We start from the raw sequence: 12,644 nt of genomic DNA, 5'->3' as shown, positions 1-12,644 counted from the left end.
CAGCAGATGATTCTGTGCCTGGTGAGGGCAGACTTCCTGGTTTGGTATAAAAATGCATTCTTGCTGTATCCTCATATGGTGTAATAAACGGGCAAGGCAGCTAGCTCTCTGGGGCCTCTCTTATAAGGACAGTGAGACTATTTTAATGGTAATGGAAGTGATGATGTAATTACCACCAAAGGCTCCTAATAGCATCACATTGGTGATTCGGTTTCAACATTTGAATTTGGGGCAGGCGGAGGGACACAAACATTGAGAGCATAACAAAAGCGTTTTCATGCAGAATGTAGTTATTGTGACATCCAGTATCTAGTGTCTAGTAAAAGTAGTTGTCTGACCCATTGATAGTTTATATCTCTTCAGATATGTATATTTATTATATTAATGTCATTGTTGATATCAGTACATATTGAAAACCTTTTTTCTGAAACATTAATAATTGTCTAATATTTTAAAACCTTTTCCTCTCTCTCCATAATTTATTCTCTCCCATTTGTCTCTCACACCCATATGAAAATTCTTTGTACACATAGTTGCTAAAATAATTATGTAGCTACAGATTCCTCTATTCTAAATTAAATGCTTTTGAAACATAATAATTACATATTAGACTAATTATATAAACTATTAAAAAAGATTTGACAAGTTTGTATATTTTTTAGCTGTAATATAATAGGCTAGGTCATTCTGGAGAACAAATTAAGATCTTGGAAAAAGAAATGAGATTATGTAGGATACATATTGACAGGAGACACTGGTTCTTAAATATCAGTCATGAATGTTTGTTTACACTGATCTTATTTTGTTTTGCTTAAGTTAAAATGTGTCTATTTTGTGGGTTATGTACTTCCCACTCTTTTACATTTAAAATATTATTTTGTTTGTGTGTGCCTGTGTGTAATGAACACTTGATATATCTTGGTGTTCTCTCTTTCCCTTTTGGTAATTGAATTGATCTGGAAAATTTTTGACTCTGATAATCACTGGTATAAAGAAAAAAAAATACAAAAAACCCCATGAGTTTAAATGTTTATTCTCCTATTCATCATATTTGTTCTTTATTGTCTTGTTTTTTGAGACAAGGACTCGCTCTGTTGCCCAGGCTGGAGTGCAGTGGCACGATCACAGCTCACTGCAGCCTCCATCTCCTGGGCTCAAGAAATCCTTCCACCTCAGCCTCCTGAATAGTTAAGACTCCACATGCACAAAACACCATGGTTGGCTAATTCTTTTTAATATTTTGTAGACACAAAGTCTCACTCTGTTGACCAGGGTGGTCTCAAACTCCTGGGCTTAAGCAAGTCTTTTACCTTTCCCTCCCGAAGTGCTGCAATTACAGTGTGAAGCTGTCATCCCCTGCCAGTTTTGTTTCTTGAACAAAGTACTTGTCCTTTCTTTTCTTCATGTAGAGGAGGCAAAATTTTACTGCTATTCTCTTAGGATTTTCAGCTGGGCTTGAAAACTAAATTGACACATAACAGATCAAAATGAGAAAAGCATACAAATTTATATAATTCGTGTTTTATGTGGCAGAGGCACCTTCATAAGAAAATAAAGATTCAAAGATGCAGTTGATGTTGAAACATTTTATGCTGAATTGGAAAATGAATACTATATTGTGAAAAGATAATTTAATTATATGGGGAAGCTAAAAGAAGAAAATAGTTATCTTCTCAGTCTGTAAAGAATCCTCTCCATCTCACTTCCCAATCTTGATAAGAATGTTACTTTAATCCTTGTATAGGGAGGACAGCTTTCATGTGAACTTTCCTCTCCTGCTTTTAAGAAACAGAGTGAACCTCAGAGTGATGTTGTACCTGCTGTTTATCAAGTGCCATTAACGCAAAATGGTCAATATGCCACAGTAGCATATTTTATGGTGGCATATTCTTAACTCTTTCATCAGTTTCTTAAAAGGAAAACAGAATACCACTCCTTGTATGAGAATCTAACATCGACAAAAAAAGTCACTTAGTGATTGTTTAGAGCCAATATAAGTTATGTTATACTCTTCTTAGTTTTGAAATTTAAAGATTAGTTATTTATATTTTTTCCAAATAACTTTGGATTCTTTATGTAAATTACTGGTGTTTTGACTGGCTCAGTTAAATTTCAGCATTAAAAAATTCTTTTCGGCCAGGTGTGATGGCCCACGCCTGTAATCCCAGCACTTTGGGAGGCCAAGGTGGGCAGATCACAAGATTAGGAGATCGAGACCATCCTGGCTAACATGGTGGAACCCCATCTCTACTAAACATACAAAAAATTAGCCAGGCGTGGTGGCATGTGCCTGTAGTCCCAGCTACCTGGGAGGCTGAGGCAGGAGAATCACTTGAACCCAGGAGGTGGAGATTGAAGTGAGCCGAGATTGCACCACTGCACTCTAGCCTGGGCAACAGAGCAAGACTCTGTCTCAGAAACAAATTATTTTTAAAATATAAATATAATTTAAACGTGATATGTAGGGAATCAACAGAGAAAAAGCAATGAGAGCAAAAGCAGATTCTTTGAAAATATTAATAAAATTTATAAACGTATAGCTACGCTACTAAGAAAAAAAATGGGCAAGGGTTAATAGTGTCATAAAGGAAAAAGGGGACATAACTCTGGGTCCTGTGGAGATTAAAAGGATAATAATGGCATACTATGAATAACTCTAGGCCCACGAATTTGGTAACCCAGATGAGATGGACAGATTACTTGAAAGACACCATATGTCAGTACTCTCACAAGAAGAAAGAATCAATCAGTATAGACCTATATCTATCAAAGAAATTAAAGCAATAATAAATAACTTTCTAAATCTGAAAGCACCATGCCTAGATGAATTACCTGGTGAGTTCCAGGCAAAGGAGGAAATTTCTCCCAGTTCTCTACAGTCTTTCTTAGAAGGGAGAAGAAGAGAAAATAATTTCTTAATTATTCTATAAGTCCAGTGTCACTCTATTATTAAAACCAAACATAGCACAAGAAAAAAAACCTACAAATAATTATTTCTTATTAATATCAATGTAAAAATCCTCACCAAAATATTAGCAAATTGAATTCAACAAGGTAGAAAAAGTGTTATACAACATGACTGTGTGACTACATTTTCATGCTGTTGATGAAGACATACCTGAGACTGGGCAATTTACAAAAGAAAGAGGTTTAATGGACTTACAGTTCCAAGTAGCTGGGGACGCCTCACAATCATGGTGGAAGGCAAGGAGGAGCAAGTCATATTTTACATGGATGGCAACAGGCAAAAAGAGAGTTTGTGCAGGGAAACTACCCCCGCCCCCATAAAACCATCAGATCACATGAGACTTGTTTACTATCATGAGAACAGCATGGAAAACACCTGCTGCCATGACTTAATTACCCCCTACCGGGTCCCTCCCACAACAAAAGATCAAGATGAGATTTGGGTGTGGACACAGCCAAACCATATCTATTACAAAATAGGATTTATCTCAGATGTGTAAGAATAGTTCAACATTTAAAATTTAATTAATGTAATCTATCACACCAACAGGATAAAGATGAAAAACAACATGACCATATCCATAAATACAGAAAAATTGTCAAAATCCAACACCCATTAGTGATAAAAATTCAGTTAAATAAAAATAGAGGGCAACTTATTCAACTTGATAAAGGGTATCTATAAAACATTTATACACAAACTCATACTTAATCATGAGAAACCAGAAGCTTTCCAGTTAAGATCAGAAATAAAGCAATGATGCCCATTCCCACCACTTCTTTTCAATATTATTCTTGAAATCCTAGCTAATGCAACAAAACAAGAAAATAAAATGAAAGGTGTGCTGATTGGGAAGGAAAAAATACAACAGATGACAGACATGTTTGTCTATATAGAAAATGTGGAAGAATCAACAAAAATCTTCTGGAACTAATAAGCAATTATAGGCAGGTTTCAGGACACAAGGCTAATATACAAAAGCCAATTATTCTATATGCCAGCAAAGAACAAGTGGAATTTTAGATTAAAAACACAATATTCATATCAGCACCAAAAATGGAATACATAAATATAAATTTAACAAAATATGTACAAGATCTGTATGATGAAAACTACAAAACTCTGTGATAGAAAACAAAGAAATAAATGAAATGACATTCCATGTTAATGAATATGAAGACTCGATATTATCAAGATGTCAGTTCTCCCCAACTTGTTCTATAGATTCAGTGTAATCCCATAAAACTCCAGCAAGTTATTTTGTAGATATTCTCAAACTTATTCTAGGGTTTATATGAAAAGGCAAAGGACCTAGCATAGCCAACACTATAAAAAAGAAAGAAAATAGTTGGGGGATTGACGCTATCCAAATTCAAAACTTACAATAATGTTACAGTAATCAAGACAATGCAGTATTGGTGAAAGGACAGACAAATAGATCCACGGGAAAGAAGAGAGAGCCCAGAAATAAAGCCACATAAATAAATATGGCAATCTAATGTTTGACAAAGGAGCACAATGACAATACAATGGAGAAAAGACAATCTTTTAAAAAATGTTGCTAGAATAACTGGACATCCCCATGAGAAAACAAAATAAATCTAGACAGAGACTGTACAGTATTCAAAAAATGGATCACAATATAAATGTGAACTGCAAAACTAAAACTCTTAGAAGATTATAAGAGAAAATCTAAATGACCTTGGATTTGGTAGTAACTTTATAGATACAACATCAAAGGCACAATTTATGAAAGAAAGAATTGATAAGCTGGATTTAATTTTTTAAATTATATTTAAAAATTATGCTCTGCAAAAGAGACTTTCAAGAGAACGAGTAGACAAGCCACAGAGTGGAAGAAAATAGTTGCCAAAAAAAATCTGAAAAGGATTATTGTCTTAAATATATAAAGAACTTGTAAAACTCAAGAAGAAAAGCAAAACAACCTGATTAAAAATGGGACAAAGACCTCAACAGACACCTTATCAAAGAAGATATAGAGAAGGCAAATAAGCACATGAAAAGAAGCTCCATATCATATGTCATCAGGGAAACGCAGACGACAACAATGAGATACTGCTATACACCCATTCATATGGTTGAATTACAGAACACTGGCAATACAAAATGCTGATGAGAATGTGGAAAAACAAGAACTCTCATTTATTGCTTGTGGGAAAGTAAAATGATGTAGCCACTTGCGAAGACATTTTGGTGATATCTTACAAAAGTAAATACACTCCTATTATATGACACAGTGACCCAGTGATCTTGGTATTTACCCCAAAATCTTAAAAATTCATTTTCATGCAAAATTCTGCACATGAATATTTACAGCATCTTTAGTTCTAATTGCAAAATCTTGGAAGCAACTAAAGGATCTTTCAGCAAATGAAAGGATACATAAAAGTGTTAATGCAGACAATAGAATACTATGCAGCATTAAAAGAAAAAACTACCAAGTCAGGAAAAGACATGAGGGAAACTTAAATGCATATTACTAAGTGAAAGAAGCCAATCTCAAAAGCCTTCCAGCTGTATGATTCTAGTCATATGATATTCTAGAAAAGTCAAAACTATGGAAACAGTAAAAAGATGAATGGTTTTAAGGAGTTAGAGGGGATGGGAGACATGAATAGGTAGAGGGGTTCTTAGGGCAGTGAAAATATTCTGTATGTGATACTACAAGGGTGGATTCATGCTGTTATAAATCTGTCTAAAATATAATATATAACACCAAGAGTGAACTCTAATTTAAACTGTGGACATTGAGTGATATTGTAGCAAATGTACCACTTTGGCGGGAATGTTGATCATCCGGGAGGCTATGCCTGTGTACAGTGGGTATAGGAGATATCTCTGCACCCTTGTCTCAATATTGCTGTTAACCTAAAACTGCTCTATAAAAATTAAATATTAAAAAATACAAAAATTCTATTCATAAAAGCCACCTTAACTGTAGTATGGAAAATATTTTCATATTATGACTGTAGGTGTCATTATATAAAACAATAAATCTGTCCAACATAAAAATATCTGCCACAAAACACCATCTATTCATTTTTCTTCATCAAAGACTCTCTTTGGAATTTTCAACAGTGATAGTCACAAAAATCTAAGTGGTCCAATGAAACTCTAAAAGATTTTCAAAAATAGAAGTATTAGGCCAATTTACCATCTAGTTTAATTATAAGCAAAAGTTTAAAATAATTTCATTCTTCTAAGTTTCCCTATACTGTTTTGTTTCTCTAAGCATTGGCATTACATTCATTTATCAAAGAATACATAGTTTAAGTTAGTTCATATAAGAGACCACACAGATTTTTACAAATGAAACTTTCTATAAGTAAAAATGGAGACATGGCATTAATAGAGTACACATGCTAAAAACTGCTTAGCTATTTTTATTGTAATGAATTGTTCAAAATTATGAAGATGATAAAATAGCAGTTTCTTAAATAATGTTTCATATTTTTTCCAGGAACACTCTTTGGAACAAAATGTAGATAATTACTAAATTTTTATACCCCAGGCATTAATAAAAATAGTTATTATTTTCATTATATTAAGAGATTCAGGATTATTTAAAATGCTTATCAGATACACATTGGACTAAAAGCTGTATTTTGGAAGATGTATAAATTGTTCTTCTTAATTAAATAGATTAATTATAATTAAAATGAAAAGAAGGATGTATTCTGTTCTAAAAAATGGATACTAATTATGATAGAAATAATACATTTTAAGACATTTTCATATGTTATATGTTAGGACATATGAAAGTGATAGAAAGCATAGAAATGATCAATTTTGAGACATTTTCATATGCTAATAGGGCACAACTATTTAGATTTTAGACCCTTTAGAATTTTACATTAACCTTTAAGACTTGATTTATTTCTGTTTTCTCTTCTTTTCTTGATGCCAATGCTAAGGTTCCTAAAATCACATGCTTCTTAACTTATATCCAAGGGAATAGTAGGTCACCATGATCTCAGTAAAAGTCCTTTGAGATACCCTGGTTGATCTGCTTTAGGCCACGTGGCCACTACTGGGAAAGTTGTGGCCAGAAGCCACGAGTAGGATTAAGAGCAGACTCAGATGTACAAGATCCACAAGGATTCCAAATTACATTTGAATTCTTGGTTTTAAAACATGGGGAATGGATGCTGACAGGTAATTCATAACTGGCTATTACACCACTGACAATACAGCACAAATATTAAGTGTTTGAAGTTAAAGCCATTTTACCTGGGTTGGAATCTGACTCTGTTGCTTACTAGTTGTGCGAACTTGGGTGATTGTTTTCAGTCTCTTCATGCTTTGGTTTTCACATCATTAAAATAGAGATAGGCACAATAATGCCTATCTCTTAGATTCGTGTGAAGGTTAATTGAATAATCAATACCAATGCCTGAAGAGGGAAGGAATGGAATTGTTATTGGATCCCAGGAAAAGTAGCAGGTATGCTGTTGTGAACTGAGGGGATCAGTGACCTTCAATGGATCAGAAAATAACCAGCACAAGATTTAAGTTTGAAAAAGAAGAGACAATGAGTTATAAATTTTTGTCAATTATATTATGTGAAGTGGGTTACCTCAGGACTTTATAAATCCCCTCACCATGTCATATCTTAACATCCTCACTAATTGTCCACCTGAGCAAAACCATACCCATTTATGCCAATTAGACATTGTCATTGCTTAAAATTTTACCAACTCAGAAAGCTGCTTCTTCCAGATTATATGCTTTTACCATTTCAGCTGTAGATTTTGCTTCAAATATCCTTAGAATTGTGCATATCCTTCTGACTTTGGCCATTTTCTTTTAATTATGGATGGTGTGATTTTTATATCACTAGTTTCAACGATGATATTTACCTGATGATATTTAGTTTTATTTGTGTGCAATATAACTCAGTTGTACATCTTACCATGCCAACAGCAGTGGTGTGATCTGATGGGAAGAGCCTATGCATGAGAGGACGAAGTTTAGATATATAGTCTACTTTATATAATCTGCTTTGTATAGTCTACTTTCAATAAAAGCCCTGCCCATAGTCATAAAGTGAGCCATATGGGTAATTTAAGATGAACTTAATTTTAGTAGTATATTTGATATAATATATCCAAAATATTATCATTTCAAATATAATCAATACAAAAATAATTAATGGAGCATTTAAATTATTTTTTGTTCCAGGCCTTCAGAATACATTGCATATGTTACATGTACATCTCACTTGGTGCTAGACAATCACTCAATATCCATGTGTTGCTGTGTATTGGGCAGTGTATTTTCTATCATATGGGGCAGTGCAGCTCTAAAGCTACTTGATATATTCAGTTTTGTTTTTTCATCTGTATAATAATAATTAGAATTATGTTTGACAGCAAGTTTTAGAAACTGAAAATAACAATGGCTGACAAAGGGCAGAAATTTATTTCTATCTTTTGTAATAAGGTTAGTTGGCTCTGTTCTACAGACTCCACAGGAACTCAGGCCCGTTTTAGCTCATAGTTCTGTCATCTCGGTAGTGTGAACCTTGGTATGATTGTACAAAATGGCAACATGTATGTCCAGCTAATAGGATAGAAAAAAGGATATCATTTTTTCACAGAACTAGAAAAAACTATCTTAAAATTCATAAGGAACCAAAACAGAGCTCAAATACCCAAAGCAATCCTAAACAAAAAAGAACAAACCTGGAGGCATTGCATCACTTGATTTCAGACTACACTATAAGGCCACAGTAACCAAAACAGCATGGTACCAGTATAAAGACAGACATATCAACCAGTGGAATGGAATAGAGACTCAAGAAATAAAGCTGCACATCTACAGTCATCTTATTTTCAACAAAGTTGACAAAAATAAAAAATGTGTAAAGGACTCTCTATTCGATAAATGGTGATGGGATAAATGGCTACCATATGCAGAAGAATGAAACTGGACCCTTACCTTTTACAAGGTACAAAAATTCTCTCAAGATGTATTAAATATTTAAATGTAAGATCTTAACTATAAGAATCCTAGCAGAAAACTTAGGAAACACTTTCTAAAATGGTGACCTTGGGAAAGAATTTATGGCTAAGTCCTCAGAAGCAACTGCCATAAAAACAAAAATTGAAACTAAAAACAGCATTAACGGACAACCCACAGAATGGGAGAAAATATTCACAAAGTATGCATCTGACAAAGCTCTAATGTCCAGAATCTATAAGGAACTTAATTGAAAGAGCAAAAAACAAATAACCCCATTAAAAAGTAGGCAAAAGACACTAACAGGCACTTTTCAAAAGAAGACATACAGGTGGCCAACAAACATGAAAAAGTGTTCAGCATCATTAATCATCAAAAATACAAATCAAAACCACAATAAGGCACCATCTCACACCAGTCAGAATGGATACTACTAAAAAGCCAAACAACAACAGATGCTGGCGAGGTTGAAGAATAAAGTGAACACTTTTACATTGTTTGTGGGAATGTAAATTATTAGTTCAGCCACTGTGGAAAGCAGTTTGCAGATTTCTTAAATAACTTGAAACGGAACTATCATTTGACCCAGCAATCCCATTACTGGGTACATATCCAAAAGAAAATAAATTGTTCTCCCAGAAAGACACACACACACACACACACACACACACACAAACACACACACACAAACACACACACACACGTGTTCATCACAGCACTATGCACAATAGCAAAGACATGAAATCAACCTAGCTACCTATCACTGGTGGATTGAATAAAGAAAATGTAATACACTATGGAATACTATGCAGCCATAAAAAACCAAAATCATGTCTTTTGCAGCAACATGGATGCAGCTGGAGGCTATTATCCTAAGCAAATTAACATAGGAACAGGAAATCAAATACCGCATGTTTTCACTTATGTGTAGGAACTAAACACTGGGTACTTAGGGACATAAAGATGGCAACAACAGATGTTGGGAAGTATTAGAGAGAGAAGGGAGGGAGGAGGACAAGGGCTGAAAAACTATTTGTACTATGCTCAGTACCTGGGTGACAGGATCATTTGTACCCCAAACCTGAGCATCATGTAATAAACCCATATGACAAACCTACACATACACTCCGTGACTCTAAAATAACAACTAAAATTATATTTAAAAAATGGACCAAAGGCAAACAGTAACTACCTTTCAAGAAATGTTCCCAGAAGCTGCCACATATCGTTTTCACTCATATCTTATTGGCCAGAACCTAGATCTAGAAAATGTCTGTATTGTAGTCAACCAGTTGGTTAACTAAAAACTGTGAGCTCTATAATTATGAAAAAAAAACAACAACATACGTTTTAATAAATAGCAGCTCCTATCCAAGACTTTCTCTGAATCCTCACCTATGGACTCAGGATAATTGCAAAAATTGTACCCCTGGTAGGTGTGCCTTTGGAAGAGACTGTGAGAGGATTCAAGAGGTCTCAACCTTTAATATGTTGCTTTATCTATAAAAATGCATATTTATATAGGGGTCAATTTATCAATTTGATTTAGAATGTTATTGTATTTATGGTACTTCGAGATTTTGAAATGTCCGAGAAATCTGCTTTTCAGATGTCAGACAAACCTGGAAGGCGCACAAATCATGTTCTGTTGCCATGTAGGGGGCGCTCCCTGTGCTTGTACTGTGTTGTTTAGTAACATATCATGGAATCTCAGAAAAATTCCATACCATATATTATTTTCACGCCTCAGGAAGGAAAAATAATAATCAATTCTAATCAAACTTTTCAAATTTGAGCCACAGATATCCATTAGAGGTGGCATTTGTTCACTCAAACGTACTGTTTTTATTTTAGATGGTTACATCTCATACTCTACCCATAAATGTTAATGTCATATATATATATATAAATTAATAAATATATATCTTAGTTATAAACGTCCTTTAATGATCTCTCTTTGAAAAAAACTACACAGTGCATAATTGATGTTATGAATAGGAAGGTATGTTCTAAATATACAGACCTGTATTAAACTTTCATTTTGTGATCAAATATGGCAAGTGTTTAGAGAGGTCAAAAAAAACTATTATTTTAAAGCTTATCAGCACTTTCAACATCTCCTCAGTGGATTTCTTGATTTATTCTTCAATGGTCAAGAGTCAACTCTGTCTGCTTTATGTGTTGAGTTCCTTCATAAATTATTAATGTTCTTGCTGCCTGACTAAACACTTCAATTTCTCAAAAAATTTTATTGTGCCAGCAATACTTTCTCTCTATTAATGGTGGTTCCCTTTAGGAATACTTTAAGATTGAATTAAGTAACTTCTTAATGGTAGTTTAGCTACAAATCTGCCTCTTTGTTAACTAAATGGAAAATAATTCAGGAGGGAAATAAAGGCAAATTTCACAATTGAACCTTTAGGATTTCTTCAATAGAAGCATATTCTGGAAGAATAGACCATATGAAAAATAGTCTAGAATTTACTTCTAAGTAATCAAATTATTATCTATCATATATATTTATCTATATGTGGAAAAGCAAAATTAAAAGAGGTGAATCTGTCTACTTCATCTATCCATTTACCTTACTGATATATCTATCTTACCTATCTTATCTATCTGTGATTGTTTTTTAACCAATAATAAAGGTAGAATGAGCACATGAGAAAAATATATAAAATTAATAGTTATGATTTCATTAATGACAGCTGCTCTGACAAGTTTTACATTTTCCATTATTTATTGCTACTAATAGTTATAGTTGTACTGTATGCTTTGGCAAACAAATTTCTAGTAAGTTCATGTCAATGAATATTTTGTGCCACATCAGTCTTCAAAGTCCTCATATTTAATTTGCTGCCTAGTATATCACTGAGAAAAAGTTTTACTATTAGATTATCTCCTAATGTATGGAAATTCAAGTGGCTCCTAATTTTTAATGCTTAATGCTGCAATAAAGTATCAAAACATTTTTAGAACATTTTTATTTTTCAATAAAAAATCTTTAAAATCTAACATTTTTTAATTTATGTTTTAAAAATATTAGATTTTTTAAGATAGTGATTTTTCATTTAAATGGAATGTATGTATGTTTAACTCTTGTTTTATACTTTTTTCACAATGGTGGCCATACTTGCTATGAGACCTCACTGAACAAAATTGGGCAGAATTATTTCCCAGGTTTATAAATTAATCAACAAAATGCTAACTTATTATGCTTATTACTAAGTAGTATTTTTTCATTTCTGATTACATTTTCTGCTTCTTGGTTATAATTCCTTGTTATGAACTACATTTTCCAATCCATGGAACTTTAAAAATTATTATTATTAATATATCACCTCATCATATGTCTTATTGTGACAAAGAATTTGAAAACACTTGCCACAATATATTTTGGTCATTTTTTTCTTTTTATGTATTTGTTCCTTTTTATGCATTAAAATATTTCAGTTTTAGGCCATAATGTCTATATGCTATTCCATACTTTGATATTTATTCTTCCCTTCTGCATGATCCATAATAATTGAATGTAATTTTATTCTCCTTAAGATATGATGACCATTTCAAAATTAAATCTAGCTCATTGGATATTCTTTTGTCATTTGTATGGGTGAAGTATGTATCTAATTTTTTTCTAAAATATTCTCTAATTCTTGAATTAACATTGTTATGCTGCAGAATAGATTATTAC

At 33.1% G+C, this 12,644-nt stretch overlaps 1 protein-coding gene across 10 annotated transcripts in view; it reads left to right on the top strand.

Annotated features, from left to right (window-relative positions):
* Positions 1 to 12,644, top strand: part of ROBO1 (roundabout guidance receptor 1) — a 1,170,760-nt gene that overhangs the window by 58,057 nt on the left and 1,100,059 nt on the right. The window lies entirely within an intron of this gene.

Source organism: Homo sapiens, chromosome 3, assembly GCF_000001405.40.
Source record: "Homo sapiens chromosome 3, GRCh38.p14 Primary Assembly".
Taxonomy (NCBI): domain Eukaryota; kingdom Metazoa; phylum Chordata; class Mammalia; order Primates; family Hominidae; genus Homo; species Homo sapiens.
Note: the sequence above shows the minus strand (reverse complement) of the source record. Positions and strands in the feature narration are given on the sequence as shown.